This window comes from Homo sapiens, chromosome 6, assembly GCF_000001405.40.
Source record: "Homo sapiens chromosome 6, GRCh38.p14 Primary Assembly".
Classification (NCBI taxonomy): Eukaryota; Metazoa; Chordata; class Mammalia; order Primates; family Hominidae; genus Homo; species Homo sapiens.
Window position 1 is genome coordinate 36,199,279 of NC_000006.12, and position 21,724 is coordinate 36,221,002.

The 21,724-nt window shown below is 46.8% G+C and overlaps 1 protein-coding gene across 7 annotated transcripts in view; it reads left to right on the forward strand.

Moving 5' to 3' along the window:
- Positions 1-21,724, forward strand: part of BRPF3 (bromodomain and PHD finger containing 3) — a 36,047-nt gene that overhangs the window by 2,535 nt on the left and 11,788 nt on the right. For 5 of the 7 annotated variants that reach the window (NM_015695.3, XM_011514490.2, XM_047418649.1 and 2 more), the window contains exons 2-9: positions 1,019-2,492; positions 5,380-5,536; positions 8,035-8,166; positions 10,509-10,637; positions 10,938-11,250; positions 11,980-12,282; positions 14,602-15,108; positions 18,639-18,732. In NM_015695.3, the coding sequence (NP_056510.2) occupies positions 1,045-2,492; positions 5,380-5,536; positions 8,035-8,166; positions 10,509-10,637; positions 10,938-11,250; positions 11,980-12,282; positions 14,602-15,108; positions 18,639-18,732 (3,083 nt within the window). In that variant the 5' untranslated portion in view covers positions 1,019-1,044. Of the gene's footprint in view, positions 1-1,018; positions 2,493-5,379; positions 5,537-8,034; positions 8,167-10,508; positions 10,638-10,922; positions 11,251-11,979; positions 12,283-14,581; positions 15,109-18,638; positions 18,733-21,724 lie in introns of those variants that run through there. The other 2 variants (XM_011514492.2, XM_047418651.1) reach the window with 2 other exon arrangements.

Here is a 21,724-nt window from a genome sequence, read left to right on the forward strand (position 1 = left end):
AGGTTGCATGCTCCTTATGAGAATCTGACTAATGCCTGATGATCTGAGGTGGAACAGTGTTCACCACCCACCCTCATCTGTGGAAAAATTGTCTTCCACGAAACCAGTCCCTGGTGCCAAAAAGGCTGGGGACTGCTGTCCTGGATGGTGTCTTTTGTAGGGAATACCCTGCATACTGTAGTTTGAAGCCCTTAGACCATGTATCATAGATATTTCAGATGCCTTCACCCCTTCACCTCTAGGCAGGGTCAAGGAGTAGGGTTTCTGATCGTGGTAAGAGGTATTGGGAGAAGACTCTAGTGACTTTTGATCCTCTGATGGGGCCCATTGTTCACGTACAGAGCTTGACAGTGGATGCTTTTCTTGTTTTCTTTTCTAAACCGTTAACTACATGTGTTTTCCATAGTTAGCTGTCGCCCAGCTTTATGTACATCATTAGAACATTAGATCTTTCCCCATGTTACACTGTAATAATCTGTTTACTTTTCTGTCTTTTGAGTTAGACAGGGCTCCTTGAGGGCAGGGATCATGTGTGTTTGATTTCTTCTTTCATTCAACTAATACTTATTGAGTGGTTACTTAGGAGCTAAGCACTGCTCCAGGAACTGGGGATGCAGCAGTGAACAAGACAAACAAAAATTCTTCCCCTCATGGAGCTTATATTCTAGTGGAAGGAAGGAAACAATAAACATAGTAGTAGGTAAATTATGTAGCATGGTATAAGATGATGAATGTTAAAGGGAAAAATAAAGCAGAATGAAAGGTAGATTGCTGGTGGAGGAAAAGGATTTGCAATTTTAGATAAAGTGGTCAGAGAAGGTCTCACTGAGAAGTGTTGTTCACTTGAAGAAATGAAAGACTCAAAGGAAGTGAAGGAGCAAGCCATGTGGATGCCTGAGGGGCAAGTTGTTCAGACAGAGGGAAAAGCCAGTCCTCTTGGTGGATGCTTGATCATATGGGAGGATGAATGGGTGCATAAGGGCATCCAACTCATAGTCTCCTGGCCTTCTCTCCTTAGGCCTGTCCCCTCAGTTCCCAGGTGCCATGAGGAAGCCTCGTCGGAAGTCCCGGCAGAATGCCGAGGGCCGGCGTTCCCCGTCCCCCTACAGTCTCAAGTGCTCACCCACCCGGGAGACCCTGACATATGCCCAGGCCCAGCGGATTGTCGAGGTAGACATTGATGGACGCCTGCATCGTATCAGCATCTATGACCCACTCAAAATCATTACTGAAGATGAGCTAACTGCCCAGGATATCACCGAATGCAATAGTAACAAGGAAAACAGTGAACAGCCTCAGTTCCCTGGCAAGTCCAAGAAACCCTCATCCAAGGGCAAAAAGAAGGAATCCTGCTCCAAGCATGCATCTGGTACTTCCTTCCACCTCCCACAGCCCAGCTTCCGTATGGTGGACTCAGGCATCCAGCCAGAAGCACCCCCGCTGCCTGCTGCCTACTACCGCTACATTGAGAAGCCACCTGAAGACCTGGATGCAGAGGTAGAGTATGACATGGATGAGGAGGACCTTGCCTGGCTGGACATGGTGAATGAAAAACGGCGAGTAGATGGGCACAGTTTGGTGTCTGCAGATACCTTTGAGCTGCTGGTAGACCGGCTTGAGAAAGAGTCATACTTGGAGAGTCGCAGCAGTGGGGCCCAACAGTCACTCATCGATGAAGACGCTTTCTGCTGTGTGTGCCTGGATGATGAATGTCACAATAGCAATGTTATTCTCTTCTGTGACATCTGCAACCTGGCTGTACACCAGGAGTGCTATGGCGTCCCATACATCCCTGAGGGCCAGTGGCTATGCCGCTGCTGCCTGCAGTCTCCCTCCCGGCCTGTGGATTGCATCCTTTGCCCCAATAAGGGTGGCGCCTTCAAACAGACCAGTGATGGGCACTGGGCCCATGTGGTGTGTGCCATCTGGATCCCTGAAGTCTGCTTTGCTAACACCGTGTTCTTGGAACCTATTGAGGGCATTGACAATATCCCGCCTGCCCGCTGGAAACTAACCTGCTATATCTGCAAGCAGAAAGGGCTAGGTGCAGCCATCCAGTGCCATAAGGTGAACTGCTACACAGCATTCCATGTGACATGTGCACAGCGGGCTGGGCTCTTCATGAAGATTGAGCCCATGCGCGAAACCAGCCTCAATGGCACCATCTTTACAGTGCGCAAGACTGCCTACTGTGAGGCCCACTCGCCACCAGGTGCGGCCACTGCTAGGAGGAAGGGCGACTCCCCTAGAAGCATCAGTGAGACTGGCGATGAGGAAGGGCTGAAGGAGGGTGATGGAGAGGAGGAAGAAGAGGAAGAGGTGGAGGAAGAAGAGCAGGAAGCTCAAGGCGGGGTGAGTGGCTCCCTCAAGGGAGTGCCCAAGAAAAGCAAGATGAGTTTGAAGCAGAAGATCAAGAAGGAGCCAGAGGAAGCAGGCCAAGACACACCCTCCACTCTCCCCATGCTTGCTGTCCCACAGATACCCTCTTACAGGTAAGCATGCCCAGAAGGGCTCCTTAGGGACTCATGGTTTCTTCTTGGGTTGGTGTTGGCCCTGTGCCAGGCCTTCGCTAAACACAGTTGGACACTATATCCTCCTCCCCGAATTTAAACTCTTCCTTTTGACCCCAGGCTCACCTGGCCTGGTTTGTGGTTTTGATTTTGCCCTCAGAGTAATGTATTTCCTTTAGTTCAAAGTGAAATAAAACACTTAAGTTACTTAGAAACTCAGGTGATAGGATATCTAAGACAGTATTTTTCAATAGGGGCACTAAGTGACATTTTGGACAGGATAATTCTTCGTTATTAGAAGTGTCCTGTACATTTCTAGATGTTTAGTATCCCTGGTCTTTGTAAATGCCAGTCGCATCCCCTCCCCCATTGCCTGGTCTTTGTGACAAACTCAAACCCTCCTCATGCATGTTTTCAAAAACCCTTGGGGAGGGTAGAACTAATTACCCAGTGAAGAACCACTGTTTCAGAGGATCGGCATGGCCATCTGCTGTCCAGCAAGTTCTGTCCTGGGTATGAGGGGGGTGGTGGTGTGGAGAGAACATGCTATTCCTCCTCTTGAAGCTTTAGATTTAGGGATAAGAGGATCATTCAGTTCAGCTGTGTAGCTAAGCTCTGTGGACCCCCCCCCCCTCCGCCCCCGCCATTGAGTCTGTAGAGAGCCCATGGTACCTGTTTTAAAACATCAGAGAGGTACCTGGAACCATTGGAGGGATGGGAGCTTGGCAGAGAAGCAAGAGATAGGGAAGATTTCCTAGCAGAGACTCATCTCAGGGGTGGTGTTCATTAAACAGTATACACTGTTAGAGCAGGAAGGAGTCTTGGAGACTGTTCATCTGATGTAGTCCTTGCACCTTCTCCCACACCCCCAGATGAAGAAACTGCGGCCAAGGGAGGTAAAGTTGTTCACTCCTTTATTCATTCAATGATATATTTATTGAGCACTTAATACATGCCATGTCCTGTTCTAAGGGATGGAACCAGGTGGAAAGTGACAGACCCTATACCACAAGAGCTGGGGCTCATGATGCCTCTAGGTTGCATTCCTGTAGTCCGTCTCTCTTGATGAGAAGGGTAGAGAGAAAGGAGTGCTGGGGAAAGAGTTGTGTGAGAGCTATGAATAGGCAACCAGACTTGCCAGGCTGGGAAGAAGACATAAGTGTGAGATCAGAAGGGGGAGGCTCTTATTGCCAGTTATTACCCAAGTTAGAATTTCAGTGACTCTGTATGTGTTTTCTAGTCACAGAGCTGTTCTAGGTTATTCTTTTTCCTGAGGTAAGTGGGTGGATGCTTAGTTCCCATCTGTAGGGTGGTTTTACCCTGAGGCTAGAATCTTTGGTTGACATATATGTTGTTCTAGATGCCTCTTGCTGGGGCCAGCAGAGCTTGCTGGCTAAGAACCAGACAAACCTACATTTGAAACCCAATTCTGTGACTTAGTACCTTTGTGACTTTTGGCAAGTTGCTTAGCTGCTCTAAGCCTTAGTTTATTTGTAAATGAACCCACCACATAGAGTTGTTGTGAGAAATAAATGAGATAATATAAGTAAAGCACTTAGCACAGTGTCTGGCAAATAGTAAGTGCTCAATAAATGGTGACTACTGCTGCTGCTGCTATTTTATTATTGCTGTTCTTTTCCCTACCTGCACAAATGCTGTTGGGATCCTCCATGGCCAAGAGGTAGAGGGAGGGTGCTGCCTACATCTGGGCAGGTGTGCTTGGCATGGACATTGGTCGGGATCTGTCCTTTGGGGAGAGGCCTAGTTCTTGATTTTATAAGCTTGGCTTTGGGGCAGGAATGTCTGACTGTGGAGAGGAGCAAGGCCTAGGTGAGCAACGTCCTGCCCAACATGCCCATCCTTCTAAGGTTTCAACTTGTTTAGCTGTGCTTATCTTTGTTTCAATGGAGTGGCATGAAGAGAAAAAGGAGAGGAAACACCACAAGAGCACTGAGGCCTTGCTTACCCTGTGGATAACCAGTCTGGGGATGTACCATGGTATAGCAGAGAGATCGTGGATTCAAATCCAACCTGGATCCACCATCTTATTAGCTGTATTAGTTACTTTGACAGTTTATTCAGCTTCTGTTCCTATGCTGCCTTTCCATCTTTTGTAAAATGGAAATAATGATACCCACCTTGCAATATGGATATTAAAGACAGATATTATAGGCTTGCATTAGTTCCTCTCCTACCCCTTTTCCTCCCCCAAGGAGTTACTGGCTTAAACCCTGACCTTAAGACTTTTGAGTAGTTTAGCCAGCTGGGTTTTCACATTTCCCATCCTCTTACATCTTTAGATCCAATTTTTTTTTTCATTTGGTTCAAAATTAAACAACATTTTTAGGCTGTTGAGGTTTATACCATGAAAAACCAGACGTCAAACAAGTCTAAGGGGTTGCATTGGGCTCAGCCTGGTTGTGGGCTACCCCCTGGTTTGATGGGACTCTCAGCCGCAGAAGGCAGGAAATAGTGGCCACATTAACCATAGCTTACCCCAGTTCCTGTTCCCTTTCGCTGCTTTTATAAGAGGAGGCTGGGGGTATTGAGGCATAGGCTTGTTTTTCAGTCCGTACGTGGAACAAGGAAGTCCAGGACCATAGGAAACGGGACTCTGGGAGATGGTTCTTTTGGAGGATTAGGACTGCAAGGCAAGAGGTGGAAAAGCAAATGAAATAACTCATGCTGAATCTGAGCTGCTTAACTTTACTGTCCTTTTCAAGCCTTTCTCTGAGGTGAGGTATTTGGCCATTTTATTCTGTCTTCCTGTATAAGGTTCAGAAATGAACCAGGTCTGGATAGGATGCACAGGCTGTAATCTGGGCTGCCCACTGACCTTGTCTTTCACTTCCGTGTGCCTCTACTCAAGGTTGAACAAGATCTGTAGTGGTCTCTCCTTTCAGAGGAAAAACCAGTTTATGCAGCGGCTTCACAATTATTGGCTGTTGAAGCGGCAGGCACGGAATGGTGTCCCTCTTATCCGGCGCTTGCACTCCCATCTGCAGTCCCAAAGAAACGCTGAGCAGGTAGGTGCAGTGGTGATTTGAGGCTGGTAGAGGGAGGTGGAGAGTGAAGGAAAAGGAATGATGGTTGGGGTGGGGCTGGCACCCCTTCTTGATCCCTCCATGGAGCCTTTGCCTACCTGTCTGGGTGGCCTATCCCAGGAACAACCCCCAGCACTACAGAGATCTTCAAGCAGCTCCTTCTGGATGGATGAGGCTTGACTTTGTAGAGAATTCTAGGGGAGAGTGGAGAGCATGCGTAGCTTTCCATATATGTGGGGAAAATCCTCTAGATGTAGCAGAAAGCCAGAAGTAGGCTGAATGAGAGCCAGGGTGGCCACATTGTGTTAATTAGGAAAAGGTGCCCTTTCCTCAAGACATTATACTGCCATCTGCCAAAAAATGTTTCATAGTAAATACACAAATTTACGATCTAAGTTGTAGCACACAGCCTGTCCAATTGTGGTGGCTGTTAGCCATTAGCAACTGGAGTTGCTGCATGTTTAATGTTTTCTGCTCCTAATTTCTCTTATTTTAACTCTTTAGTTCTTTCTCCCCCTTTACCTGTTCTATTCTTTCTGTCTTTAAGTGTTCCCACACTGCTGCTCCAGAGATGAAGCAAAGCTTTATGTGAGTCTGGTGCCTTCTGCATTCTGTCTGATCTCACTTTTGCCTTTTATAACTAAACTCCTGAAGTATAAGCCTGTATCTGGCCCGCCTTGAACCTTTTGGTCCACCTGCTCCACTGAAGCCTCCCCTAAAACATCAGCTACCTTCTCCCAGGAAGTCTTTCCTTATATTCTCACCTGATTGATCATTGGGCTGCATTTGACACCACAAATGACTTTGTCTAAGAGCTTCTCTGTGATACCACTTCCGGCTGCTTCTACCTCTCTGACTGTACCCTATGCTGATCCCACTTCTTGCTCTTTAATGGTAACATTCCCAGTGGCTCTGCTATCTGCTCGTTTGCTTGGAGAACATGTCCAATCTCATAATTGACAATAACTGTAATAGCAGCTCCAGACTTTTTGTCTTGTCCTCATCCCTTTTTTCTGCCATCAGTCCCTCAGGGATGTTTCCATGTGGATGTTGTTAATTTGTAACTCAAATATTGGAAATTAATTATCTTTTTTCCTCTCAGTAAACTTATTTCCCCATCATTATGGCTCTCCCCTCCCTCCTGGACTCATATCAAAAGTTCCCCACCTTGGAGTTACTTTTGACTCTTTACTCCCTAAGGGCCATTTTTAATCATCCTTTAAGCTGCTTTGGGGGCTTTATCAACATGGGTTTTTGTCTTCATTCTGCAGCTCTCCTGCTCATCCATGCCCTCTTAATCTCAGCAATAGCTTTCTAGGTGATCTCCAGCCTCTAATTCTTTCTTTGATCTTCAACTGGTAGTTTCTTATTCACATGCTGTTGGGATCCTCCATGGCCAAGAGGTTGTAGAGGGAGGGTGCTGCCTACATCTGGGCAGGTGTGCTTGGCATGGACATTGGTGGGGATCTGTCCTTTGGGGAAAGGCCTAGTTCTTGATTTTATAAGCTTGGCTTTGGGGCAGGAATGTCTGACTGTGGAGAGGAGCAAGGCCTAGGTGAGCAATGTCCTGCTCTTCCATTCTCTTACTTCCTCTTCCAGAATATACTCCTCTTTCTAGGCAGGCGAAGTTAAGGCTCTTTTGCCTTACATTTGAAGCTTCTTATTAGCTGTATCCTGGATCTTCCTTGGCTTTTATAGTTCTCCAGCATCTCTGTTCTGGCCAGCCTGTTTCACTTACTAAGCAAAGAATCACTAATTCTGCCTCTATATTTCTGCCCCTTTCATCCCTTTGGTTCCAGAAGAGACCTTCCTTACTACTTTGCCCATCCATGTCTGTCACCTACCTGTATGTTAAACTCTAGTAAGAGTCTTCACCAGGAAGCTTCTCTGATCTAACCTCCACCTACTCAGATCTTCTATTTTGTATCCTCTTAGCATTTTATTTCCAGTTTATATTATTAGTTTGTATTATCTTTATGCTAATATGCCCTTGTGCTTCAAGCTCTAGGTCTCTTCCCTTCCCCTGACTCCAACTGTAATTTTTTCTAGGGCAGGAATCGTGATTTGTTTGTTGTTGTTTTACCAGAGTATATTCAGGCTTATAGTAAGAACCTTGCTTTGTTTTCTAGCCAAGTGAAAGCTCTAGGGTGAAATTCTTTTCACCCCTGAGGTCAGTTTTCTTATGAAATTCTTTCTGACCCAGAGGGCCATAGCTGCTCTCTGGCATACCTGGGGATAGGGGGAAGCAGTCCCAGATCCTACTCCAGCAAAGGTTATTGCTTTATAATGAAGAAACAGTGCTGTAATACTGGGGCAGCTCAGGAGGAAGGCATGGGGTAGAGAGGGGTGGAAGGGCTCTTGGAACTGTGGGTCAAGGAAGGGGACAAGACTTTTACCTGCTGCAGCCCCGTGAGGCTTGAACAGGGAGAGGACTTTTGCAAGAAGGAGGTTCCTAGTCCCTCTTCTCTTCCCTCCTGTAGCGAGAGCAGGATGAGAAGACAAGTGCAGTGAAGGAGGAGCTGAAGTATTGGCAGAAGCTCCGGCATGACTTGGAGCGGGCGCGGCTGCTGATTGAGCTGATTCGGAAGAGAGAGAAGCTCAAACGAGAGCAGGTAAGGAGGAGCCCCCAGCCCTAGGGCCCTAGTTCAAGGCCACTTTCTCCCACTATTAGTCTAGTATTGGGAAATCTGGGAGCCCCTGCCTTATGCTAGGTTTCTTTCTCCCCTCCCTACCCAGGATTGTAGGCTCCAAGATCTGCCTACTTTGTATTAGATGTGGTGCTACTGATGGTTTCTATAGTTTGGATTTCAGCTCCTGGTGGCCTCAAGCATAAGCTTAATATCATATGCCTGGGCCTGTCCCTGTATTTTCTGATTCAGGAAGTCTCTCAGAGGGAGCCTGGCCTTGAGGATTTTGAAAAGCTTCTTAGACCATTCTCATGGGCATCATCAGTTGAAAGCCTCTGGCCTGGGAACTTCTGAGGGTTCCCACTTGACTCTTAAACACTTATGGTCCTGAATCATTTACATTTTCTGTTTCTCCTCTGTTCTAGGAGATTTTAAGCCCTTGAGCATAGGAAATGTTGAGGTAGGTAGTGTAGCATAGTGTTTAGGAACATGAGCTATGGCACCAGACTGCCTGGGTTGAAATCCTGCCTCTTCTACAGACTACCTGTATGACATTAAGCAAATTCTTTAATCGCTTAATACATTGGTTTTCTCACCTGGAATATGGGGGTAATTATAGAGCCTACATCATAAGGTTGTTTTGAGGATTAGATGACTTCATCATGTAAAGAGCTTAGAACAGTGCCTGGCACATAGTAACAGCCAGAGAAATGTCAGCTGCTGTCATTATTATTATTATCAATACTCTTTGCTTCTCTGAAGTGTCTACTGCACATGGCAGAGAGCAAATACTGTTAATTAAGTGGATGAAAAGCCAAAACTGTTCTCTCTGGTCTAGGAATAGCAGCTGTCACTCACATGCTTCAGAGGCCAGGGTTAAAGATGTTCCTTTCTTGCCGGGCACAGTGGCTCATGCCTGTAATCCCTGCATTTAGGGAAGCAGAGGCAGGAGGATAGGTTGAGTCCAGGAGTTTGAGATGAGCCAGGGCAACAAAGCAAGACCTGTTCTCCACAAAAAGGGGAAAAAAAAAAGATGTTTCTTTCTCTTTCTCCAAATTCTAATTCAGTGGTCAGCCTTAGCACAACCCCTTTTCTAGCAGGCCAGTAGCCTGAGTTTCCTCCTCATAGCCTGGGCAGCTCATGCCATATTTACCATGGATGGCCATGGAGGACATCTCAGGACCTTCTTCAAGGGTTCAAAATGTCTGTGCTGTCCCAGGCATGATCCCACAGCTGAACTTCTCATCTCATCTCTGGTTCAGAGAAATGAGAGAGAGAAGAAGGCCTGGTCCTGGGGAAGTAGGCAGGCCTGTTTTGATATAGCCAAAAGGTGGAAATTTTCTATAGTCTTAATTTGTGGCTTCCCAACTTTTCACATTAGGGCATATGTAGAAAATAGCATTTGTACAGCATACTACTGTAAGTATATGAAGCTACTTGCCACTTGCGGGGGCAAGCCTGGAGGCCCTGGTGACCCCATGCTGACCCAGATGCTCCAAGGGCTGATGGAATCAGTATCTCAGCACACTGGGAAATTCTGGTTCAAGCACATTTTACATCATCATTGTGTCCCTTGGACTAAGTCAGACCTGGGTTCAAATCCTATCTCTATTCTTTTCTAGACAGATGACCTTAGACTAGTAACTCCTTCATCATGCTGTCTCTAAACCTCAGATTCCATATACATTTTTTTAATTTGTATTTTTTTTCTTTTAGTCCTTGGTGATCCTTGTTCTGATCCATATTTGTAAAATGGGGATAATAATTTCTGTTTCAGGGTTATCGTGATGATTAATTGAGGTAATACAAGTACAGAGTTAGTGTGGCATAATGGCCAAGAGCACTCACTGTAGAATCACTGGGACTGAATCCCAACTCTGCTCCTTATTAGCTATGACTTTAGGCCAGTTACTTAGTTTCCTCTAGTTTCCTCCTAGTTCCTTAGTTACTTGGTTTCCTCTTTGTAAAATACCTCATCTGTTCCTACCTCATATACTCATTTATTTTACATAAAATGCTTAGAACATTACCTGGCATTTAGTAAGGGCTATAGAAGTGTTAATGATTATAATTGTAATGATAATTATTATTGTTACTGTAAATTTTAGTATGATGTTTGGTACATAGGAAACAATAATAAAATAGTAGCTGTTGGTGTCATTATTCCTAGGCTAAAGGTTGGGTGATAGCTTCTCATATACTGGTCAGCTTAATATTCTATGAAAATTTGTTGTACAAGATTGGTAAAAGTCAAACTATCAAGAAAAAGTTTCAGTACATCTTTGCAGGGGATGTTCTGATCTGATCTCACCCCACCTTCCCCACAGGTCAAAGTCCAGCAGGCTGCCATGGAGCTGGAGCTGATGCCATTCAATGTTCTGTTGAGGACAACACTGGACCTGCTGCAGGAGAAGGATCCTGCACACATCTTCGCAGAACCAGTCAACTTGAGTGAGGCAAGTTCCCCCTACTTTCCAAGTAGTAAATTCTTCTTGAACTGGAACAGGGTCTGAGTAGGCTAGGAAGGAGTTGGGCCACAGGGTGTACAAAACCAGGGGTAGGAGGGTGGGTCTGGCAAAGCTAGTAGACTTGCCCTTGATGAGGGGTCAGCAGGCCAGGGTGGGCCAGGACTGTAGGTCTTTGAGTTAGCCTGGCATGGCCAAATCAGAAATTGAGGAGGCCAAGAGTATTGGTGAAGGGTGTGTCTGTTTGGCTAGTAAATGGTTGTTGTAATTGTACAGGTTTTATATGTTTAGGTTCCAGATTACCTGGAATTCATATCCAAGCCAATGGATTTTTCTACTATGAGGCGGAAGCTGGAGTCCCACCTGTACCGCACCTTGGAGGAGTTTGAGGAGGACTTTAACCTTATAGTTACCAACTGCATGAAGTATAATGCTAAAGACACAATTTTCCACCGAGCAGCTGTCCGCCTGCGGGACCTGGGAGGGGCCATCCTACGGCACGCCCGGCGGCAGGCAGAGAACATCGGCTATGACCCCGAGAGGGGCACTCACCTGCCCGAGTCACCCAAATTGGAAGACTTTTACCGCTTCTCCTGGGAAGACGGTGAGAGGCCTGGATGGGTGGGGAGGAGAGGGGCCAGGAGGAGGCACAGGAACAGAGTCTACAGAGTGAGGGATCAGGGTGGTCCTTGGGGCTATAGGTAGACTCCAGGAGCAAAGCTGAGGGTGAGCACAGACTGAGGTATACCTTTGTGGCTAGAATAGTTCTAAGGGTTAAAGTTTAACTAATGTACTCTGCACTTCTTAAGTGGTAGAAAAGGGGAATCAGGTACTAGTGGTCTGTTTGAAAAGCTTAAAGCCTCATCAGAGGTCTTCCTCTCTTGGATCCCCTCTGTATGGCATTGGAGCATGGGACAGGGAGAGTGCATTGCTGGTGTGTGTTTGGCTCATTCAGAAGATTGCAGGTGGAGGACCAGAAAAATGGAATTGCCTCTGAGCCCCACACGCTGCCTGTCCCTGCTCTCTGCTTCTCGATGGCAGCAGCCAGTCACTCAGGCCAGGGTATTGCCAAGCTGCCTCATGCCTGCTCCATGGAGCCCATAATCGTGACTGTGAACTGCTTCCTGCAGACGTTTCCCAGATTCTGACCTTGCCCCTGTGGCTGCCTTCTGGGCAGTGGTGTTGCAGGGCCAAGGCCCACAGTGACGCTGCTGGAAGCTGCTGGCCCAGGCATTCCAAGAGAGAGTTTTGCATCCGAAGGATTCGGCCCCTTTCTCTTGCCCTGTGCTGGGCAGGTCCTTCAGCCCCTTCTGTCCTCCCTTCTCCCTGGCAGTGGACAACATCCTCATCCCAGAGAACCGGGCCCATTTGTCCCCAGAGGTGCAGCTGAAGGAGCTGCTGGAGAAACTGGACCTGGTGAGCGCCATGCGGTCCAGTGGGGCCCGCACCCGTCGTGTCCGCCTGCTACGCCGGGAGATCAATGCCCTTCGGCAGAAGCTGGCACAGCCACCACCACCACAGCCACCATCACTCAACAAGACAGTATCCAATGGGGAGCTGCCAGCAGGGCCCCAGGGGGATGCAGCTGTGCTGGAGCAGGCCTTGCAGGAGGAGCCAGAAGACGATGGGGACAGAGGTGAGAGATAGTCACAGGCAGGCAGGGGGTTGGAGGGTAAAGAGGGACAAAGGCTAAGCTGAAATATCATAATGGGGGTATTCTTTCTGAGTTTAGATCTGACACTTGTGGGCAAGCAAAAGTGCTTGGAAGGGCCACACTTCCATGTATACGCAGGGATGATGTTCAAAATATTTAACAATCACTAGAGACTAAAATTTATCCATCTCAGTAGATGTTGGCTGTTATATTGGAGTGGGCTCCCAAAGGCCCCTGTTGTGGATATTTAGTTGCTGGATTGTGGGGAGTTTCAGGTGCTGCAGCCCAGCAGCTGTTTATTAGCCAATTAAGTATGTCAGTATTTTGCACCTGATACAGCCGTATTGTACATACCAGTTAAATATCAGCCTACCTTGTAACATCACGTGGAGAGACTCTAGAGCAGGTTAGGTTGGGGTGTGAGGTGATAGCAGAGAAGGAAAGACCCTGGGCTTTTGAGCCACCTCATGGTTTTTACCCCATCTGGCTGAATCTACAGGCCCATCTCAAGTAGAGAGGCCAGACTATAAAAGATAGTTGGTTTCCACAGTTTTTCTTGATCTTGAGAAAAGACAAAAAAATAAAAATAAAAAAGAAGAAAAGACAGCCAGGGAAGTGACTCTCAGAAACCCAGGAACCTTATAAGCTAAGCTGCTTCTCATTCTTCTCCTTCACTGGGGATGGAATTGTCTCCCTCATACCTGCCTTCGGATCCGAGCCTATAGCTTGGGAGGGCCTGTCACGCACACAGTCGAAAAGGCTGGAAGTTACTTCCAATGGATAGGGGCCCAAATTGTAGGTAACAGCCCATTTTATTTTAGGTTGGCAGAGAATGGAGACATAGTTGAGAGATCACATTTGACATCAGAGGGCTTTTATGTCCATTGTGACTCCTCTGGACTCCCCGTATGACAGTCAGCATGCCATTTGTATCCCTACTTCTGGGGCTGTGGCAGTACAGAGTTGTGCCCAGTAGGCCAACAGCATCACCTAGAAAAAAAAAAAAAAAAAAAAAAGGTGTAGCCTCACCTCCCATAGATTCAGTTAGGGATGTCTGGGCTTTGGCTTGGAAGTCTCAATTTTTAAAAGTTTCGGCCGGGCGCGGTGGCTCACGCCTGTAATCCCAGCACTTTGGGAGGCCGAGGCGGGTGGATCATGAGGTCAGGAGATCGAGACCATCCTGGCTAACAAGGTGAAACCCCGTCTCTACTAAAAATACAAAAAATTAGCCGGGCGCGGTGGCGGGCGCCTGTAGTCCCAGCTACTGGGGAGGCTGAGGCAGGAGAATGGCGTGAACCCGGGAAGCGGAGCTTGCAGTGAGCCGAGATTGCGCCACTGTAGTCCGCAGTCCGGCCTGGGCGACAGAGCGAGACTCCGTCTCAAAAAAAAAAAAAAAGTTTCAAGGTGGTAGGTGAGCACACATGTTTGGCAACCACTGATTTAACTTACTTGGTCTCGTTTTTCACATTTGTGAACTTTTTCTGCCTGCTGTACTTGTTCTTACTTGGGTGATGTGAAATAAAATCGATTGACAGATGAGAAAACTCTTGAGTCCAGTGAGAATTGTAGATACCTAATCTGTCAAGCTGAGACTTAACCTATTTATTGATTAAGCATGTGGCTTTCTTTGTGTAGAGCAATGGTTTGCAATCCTCACTTCATTAGACTCACTTGGTAAGCTTTAAAAAACAAAATACCCTATCTTTACAAATTTGGTTTCAGTTGGTATGGGATGGAGCCTAGGCATTGGAATTTTTAAGAAACTTCCTATGTGATTCTTATACATAGCCAGGGTTGAGAACTACTAGTGTAGATAAAACTTACTTCTCCTGGGGATGGGTACAGTGGCTCATCCCTGTAATCTCAGCACTTTGGGAGGCAGAGGCAGGGGGATTGTTTGAGGCCAGGAGTTTGAGACCAGCCTGGGCAACACAGTAAGACCCTGTCTCTACAAAAATTTTTTTGAAAAATTAGCCTAGCCAAGTGTGGTGGTGTGTGCTTATAGACCTAGCTACTTTGGAGGCTGAGGCAGGATAATCACTTGAGCCCAGGAGTTTGTGGTTGCAGTGAGCTGTGATCAGACCACTGCACTCCAGCCTGGTCAACAGAGCAAGATCCTGTCTCTGAAAAAAAAAAAAAACCTAATCCTCCTTTCTCTTTGCTTCAGATCTAAGACCTTGAATGCATCTCAAGCCTTATAACAGCCAATGCTTTTGGTCCTTGGTTGTCAGTGTCAGTATCTAGCTTGTAGGAGCAGACTCTTTCTAAAATGTTCAAGCAGATTCTCTTTTTTTCTAATAGATGACTCCAAACTGCCTCCTCCGCCAACCCTGGAGCCCACTGGGCCTGCACCTTCCTTGTCTGAGCAAGAATCCCCCCCGGAGCCCCCTACTCTGAAACCCATTAATGATAGCAAACCTCCAAGCAGGTTCCTAAAGCCCAGAAAGGTGGAAGAAGATGAGCTCTTGGAAAAATCACCACTGCAGCTAGGGAATGAGCCTTTGCAACGCTTGCTCAGTGACAATGGCATCAACAGACTATCCCTCATGGCCCCTGACACCCCGGCCGGTACCCCACTTAGTGGTGTGGGTCGCCGCACATCAGTCCTCTTCAAGAAGGCCAAGAATGGGGTTAAGCTACAGAGAAGCCCAGACAGGGTCCTGGAGAATGGCGAGGACCATGGTGTGGCAGGCTCTCCTGCCTCTCCAGCCAGCATCGAGGAAGAGCGCCACTCCCGGAAGCGGCCAAGGAGCAGGAGCTGTAGTGAGAGCGAAGGGGAGAGGTCCCCCCAGCAGGAGGAAGAGACAGGTGACCCTGCCTGTGACTTCTCTTGATACTTCGCATCTGCTTTTCTGCTTTGCCTTGCCAACCAGCACCTTCCCCAATTGGCCATCTCTCTAATGGCACCATTGGACAGCAATAGTAGCATTGAGGGCACCATAGCTCACAGTTGGGCCTGGCATGTTAGTAGCAGCCAGGGGAAATAGGCTTTGAGCAGGTATTTTCCAGAGAGCCAGATTGTGTCTGGGATTCATTGGCCCTGAGGGTAATGCAATGTTGTATAAAGTAAAATGATTCCTACCTTCATTTCAGTTCATTCATCAAATATTTGTGTTAGGCACTGTTCTAGGCATTGGGGGAAAAAATCAATGAGCAAAACAGACAAAAATCTGCTCTCTTATGGGGGAATATATTAAAAGCAAATGAGTAAACCGTATCTTGTATTAGAAGATTTGGAGAAAGATCCAGCAGGGAAGGAATGCTAGAGTGGTCTTAGAGAGGGTGGCCAGGTTTTCTAAGGAGGTAACGTTTGAGTAAAGATCTGAAGGAGTTGAAGGCATGAGCTATTTGTATGTCTAGGGGAAGAACATTCCAAAAAGATAGACTAGAAAGTACATAGGTCCTGGAGGTGGGAACATGCCTGCATGTCTGAGGAACACTGAGGGAACCAGTTTGGCTGCAGCAGAGGGGGTGGGGTGGGGTGAGGTGGTGATAGAGGTAGGTAGTGGAGGTTCCATCACTAAAGAGAGGGTTTTTTTTTGTTTTTTTGTTTTTTTGAGATGAGTCTTGCTCTGTCGCCCAGGCTAGAGTGCAGTGGCATGATCTCAGCTCACTGCAACCTCTGCCTCCTGGGTTCAAGCAATTCTCCTGCCTCAGCCTCCCAAGTAGCTGGACTACAGGTGCCCACCACCACGCCTTGCTAATTTTTGTGTTTTTAGTGGAGATGGGGTTTCACCATGTTGGCCAGGCTGGTCACCTGACCTCAAGTGATTTGCCCGCCTCAGCCTCCCAAAGTGATGGGATTACAGGCATGAGCCACCGCGCCCCACCTAAAGTGTTCTTAATATACATCCAGCAGGAGCTAGTCATGAGTAGCTGTGAGGAAGTAATAAAATAAGTCAGACTTAATTCCAGCTCTGGAAGGTTCACAGGCCATTGGGCAAATGAGTCTCTCAAAATGTAGAGAAATCACAGTGGTGGACAGTATGTTGTTATTTGTCAGGTGAGAGGTAGCATTGCTAGAGGTGTTCAGGGAATTTGAGCTGTAGGAGTTGGGCTGAGCTGGCCCTGTGGGATGAGGGCAGACTGGAAAGGAATGGTTATGAAGGCCTCAGGCCTGGGTGTGTGGGAACAAGGAGGACAGAATCTCTGTGAGGGACAGCTTAGAGAGGGGCTTCCCAGAGCATCAGGAGCCAAGACTGGATGGGTGAGATGGGACTGAATGTGAAGGACTTTGAATGCCGGGCAGACTACTTAGGTCTTGGTGGGTTAGGGAAGACCCACTTTCTTGGCAGGGAGGGCTGCTCTTGGCTTTTGCTCTTTGTGTCCCTCATGTACTTTTATGTGGTGACTTTGGACTGTGTGGCCAGCACTTGCTTTTCTGTCTTCTTGCCTGACATTTTGTTTTCAACAATACCTTCCCATCTCGTCTGGCCAAAACTTTTCTGTGTTAGGGGAGTAAGTTGGTATATAGAGGCAAGAGCTTAAGGCCTGGATTTAGGCATACCTGCACTCAAATCCCCAATTTCTTACTAGCTGTGTAACGACAGGAAAATTAATTAACTTCTCTGAGCCTGTTTCCTTATTCTTAATATGGGGTTTCTGATACCTACCTTGCAGGGTTCTAAGAACTAGAAATACCCTTTATAAAGCACTTGGCATATAGCAGTAGATGGTAGCAGTTACTGTCATCCTGTCAGTTGAATCAGGCTTAGCCATACAGTGCTGAGAACACTGCATTAAAAGAATGAAAGATCCTGCTGTTGGGAAGTAGCTCTGTACATGAGGCCCATCCAACCTGAGGGGGCCTGTTGCTTGGAGATACTGCTAGAATCCTGTCTCTCACCATCCCAGTTGCCTGGCACTCAGGGATACTTCTATACAACCTTAGTTGAATCTCACAAAAAGAGGTGTTGATCCTTCGTAAGTGAGGCACCCAAGACACAGATGGCTTCAGTGATTTAAATTGTGGTCATAATGTTAGAGGCAGAGCCAGGTCAGAGGATAGACATTGTGGCTCAGACACCTGCTCTTATAGGAGGGACTTGCCTCACAGTTTTCTAGTTACGGTGTCTGTAATCTACAGCTTTCAAATCAGGTGCCTGGCCCATCTCTGTACACCTCTTGGCTCAGCTGTTAGAATTATAGGACTTTTAGTGTGGCTAGCAATTGGATAAAGGCCAGGCACAGTGACTCATTCCTGTAATCCCAGCACTTTGGGAGGCTGAGGCAGAAGGATTACTTGAGCCCAGGAGCTCGAGACCAGCCTGAGCAACATGGCAAGACCCTGTTTCTGCAAAGTTAAAAAGTTAGCTGGGCATAGGGCTCATTCATGCCTGTGGTCACACCTACTCAGGAGGTTGAGGCAGGGGATCACTTGAACCCATGCTATTGAGGCTCCAGTGAACCTTGTTTACACCACTGCACTCCGCCTGGGCAACAGAGCGAGACCCTATCTCAAAAAATAGAAAAATAAATTGGATAGATAGGAGAGTGGAAGCCTTCACTTCAAGGTCATATACCTGGGATGACCAAACAGCCTTCATTCGCCTCTGAAGGGCTCCCCACTATAAACAGACCTTCTCTCATACATACTGAATAGTAAGTAAGTAAGGTATTATCTTCACTTCACCAAAGGAGAGGTCAAGAGACCTCAAAGCAAGAGAAAAGGAACCTGTGTTTCAGAGCCCAGCCTAGAACCCCAGGTTCTGACTCTCCCTCCCAGGAAGTTCCGGGCTGCTTTAGTTCCGCTGAAGAGTGCCCCCATCCTCACTTTGGATTAGCCCTGTGAGATATCTCAGGGTGTGGTTGACAAAGGGCCCTTATCCATCTCTAGTCTCTCTTGACACCACCCCCAAAGAATCAAACTAGCTGTTGCCAGCTGTGTGATGCATAGGTTATGTGAGTCTTTATCTGAAGAGGCAAGGTGGTTGGGCTCCTGAAAAAGGCAGAGAAGGCTACCTGATAATCGAGGTTTGAAATTAGAAGCAGATCCAAGGACTTGTGAGCCAGCCAGGGTAGGAGAAGTCTTAGTATCTCCCTGTGTAGCCAAATGACAGTAGCTGAGTGAGCTGTGTGCTATGGTTTCCTTAAACAAAAAGCAGAAGGATGGGAAGGAAATTGCAGTGTCTGCTCCTTGCCCTAGCCAGCAATATTTCCCCCCAAACTTTTATCTTGATCAGATCTTCTCTATCACCCAAGACCCATTTCTCACAGGGAAAGGAATAGCCATCCTCTCCACTCGTCACTGAGCCCTCCTGAGGTGGCTGCCTCACCCTGTAGCATGTGTTGGGAAGGGGGATTTCTGCACTCAGACTCACTGTGTGTGTCCTTGGCAGGCATGACCAACGGCTTTGGAAAACACACCGAAAGCGGGTCTGACTCTGAATGTAGTTTGGGTCTCAGTGGTGGACTGGCATTTGAAGCTTGCAGGTAAGAACACATTCCCAAAGCTTTGTCAGCAGCTCTGCTACCCCTCCTTTTACTCTCCATTCAGCTACAGATTGAACCTCTTCCTGCTTACCTTTTTCTCTCTTCCCCCACTCCTGCTATTTCCTGAGGCCTCTTATCTGTAACTCTGGGAGTTCCTAGGAAACAGGGTGACCCTTGACTCTCAGATCTGATCTGAGAGAGGAAGAGTAGTGCTGATGCTTACAGGGTTTGTGGGGCTGAATTTGGACTCTAGAGGATAAGAAAAGCTAAATCTCCTGTTGTTCAGTGAAATTAACATTTGAGCCAAAGTCCCCTGCTGCCCCTACACACATTTAGACAACCCAGCCATTACAGAGTTGGTTTTGCTCTTTGCCTTTTGGGGCGTCATAGCCTCTTTATAGAGGTGTGGTGTAGGTGTATGAAATGACCAAGTAGGAAATTTGGAATTGCCTTTTTTTTTTTTTTTTTGAGACGGAGTCTTGCTTGCTGCCCAGGCTGGAGTGCAGTGGCCCGATCTCGGCTCACTGCAACCTCCGCCTCCTGGGTTCAAGTGATTCTCCTGCCTCTGCCTCTTGAGTAGCTGGGAGTATAGGCACGTGCCACCACGCCTAGCTAATTTTTGTATTTTAGTAGAGATGAGGTTTCACCATGTTGGCCAGACTGGTCTTGAACTCCTGACCTCAAGTGATCTGCCCGCCGCAGCATCCCAAAGTGCTGGAATTACAGGCGTGAGCCACTGCGCCTGGCCTGGAATTGCCTTTTATTCAGACAAAGGCCCCAAAGCTCTTCTGCTGTCCTTGAGCTGAAAAGAGATGGATTTCTTCCCATTCTTTTATCTGAAGGGAGGATTTCTCAGACCAGACCTTAAAGTTTCTTCCAGGCACAAGAGCTTATGGAGCCCCTGCTCTGTGTTCTGTGTTCTGCAAGACACCAGGGCGGGGAGGACTCTTAGAAATGAGAAACCCTCACTGCCACAAAGGAAAAGTGACTTGTCCTGAAGGCTAATGTCATGGCCCCACCCATGACTGCTGAATGGGTCTTAGGTTCAGAGTAGGGGAGGAAAGGTCCCAGGGCAGCACCAGAAGACTATTTGTGTTTGAAGTGCTTCCAAGGCAGACTGGGCATGTGTTCTTTTAGGCATTCAGTCTACCTGGGCTGTAGGACTACTGGTAGGGCTGAGGGGGTCCCCAGCTACTCGTTGGCCTGGACTGGTTCCCTGCTGTGGTTTCTCTGAGATTCCCCTACCCCCCGCCAACCCTCAGAGTTGCCCTAGCTTCCTATTGCAGCCTCCAGAGATATAGGGGAAGTAGATGGGAAAAAATTATCAGGCACAGGAAAGAGAAAGATTTCAGAATCTTACACGATGCTTCTAGCCTGGCCCTGGGTTGAAGTTCCTGACTCCCTTCAAAGATAAGGTACCTGGAAGCCCACTTTGTTGGGGTCAGGGTAGGATTGGACCCATCAAACTATCCTTTTCTTGCTCTTGACTAAAAGTGAAAGGTGTGTTGTTGGCCCCTTCTTCTATGAAGGGCATTCTTTTCAGCTATGAGCCACAAGAGCAAGCAAGGCCAGGCTCTGGTTAGCCTGCTAATTCAGGTGGCGTGTTTGCCTTTCTGCAGAACTCCAGTGCAATGCCCTTGATTTATCTGGGGCCCCTTGGAGGAAGTATGTATTAATATTTCAGGGTTTAAAATAGGAGATCCAAAGGCTTCAACTGCAAGGGTTGTTTTTCTTTTTCCCCCCATACTGTGGTAATAAGTATATAAGGGAAGACCTTATTTATTAGACCAGAATCATATAATCCCAGAATTAGAAATAACCTTGAAAGAACTGGTCACTAACCCATCCCCCACACTCCCTTTTTCACTTACCCCTTGGTTTATCTTTTCTGATGATTTTCTGAGCAGGTTGGTGCTACATGTGCTTTCTATAGATCACTCATTCAAATATTGATAACTGAACACCTACTGTATGCCAGGTACTGTTCTAAGCACTAAGGTGCCTGTTCTCATGAAGATTATCTTCTAAGGTGTCTGTTCTCATGGATATGGATGTTAAACCAGTAAATAAGATAACTGTAGGTTGGGTTGTCTGCTTAGGCTGGGGTAACTTGGAGAAAGGGCTGAAATGCAGGCCATGATTGAGTCAGTTGTGCTTTTTTCTACAAATCAGGAACATACAGACCTATTTTTGGTGTTGCATCCTATTTTATTGAGCTCATCCTTCTCAGAGCTCATCATTCTATAGTACAGTATTAGCAGTTTGTAATACTTTAAGTAAGACATTAAAATTTACTATCCTTCGTATGACAATAACTACAGCTGTGTTTATTGACTGCATGGTATGTGCTGTACTGAGAGTTTTATGTGTGTTCGTTCATTAATCCTTACAACAACACATGGGGAGTGTAAGCCTCGGAGAAGTTAAGTAACTTGCTGAAGGTTACAGAACTGATAACAAGAGCTGGGTTTTGAACCCAGATAGGCTCCAAGAGTTTAATTTCTTAACTACTTTGCTGTGCTGTCTTCTGTTGTATTTGAAGATGTCTCCCCAGATTCTTGATGTGAACTTTGATTTGTTTTTCTTTTTCTCATCTTGACGTGAACTTTGAGAGGCTTTCCTGATAAAATTACTAGCACTTTACATTTGTACAAGGCCTCAATTTCTCTAATATGTTGGCAGATTTTTATAGGGTAAATGGGAACTAAATCCTAAATGTAAACTGGGTATTTTTTGTTTTTTCCCAAACAGTTTCTATTTTGACTAGCAATAAAAACTACCAACCTAACTACAGGTTACTGAAAAATTATGATTCATTGGGTTTTGGTTAAGCAAAGTTTTCTTAGCATACGTTCCTGATAAAGTCAGTTCTGATTCAGTAAAACGGGAGTACCCTACTCTCCAACCAGTCCCTACTCCTGGCTGTTTCTTATCCCACTAGGGGTTTCTTTAAGCATTTCTGCTTTTCTGCAGATTGATGACCTATTCTTTA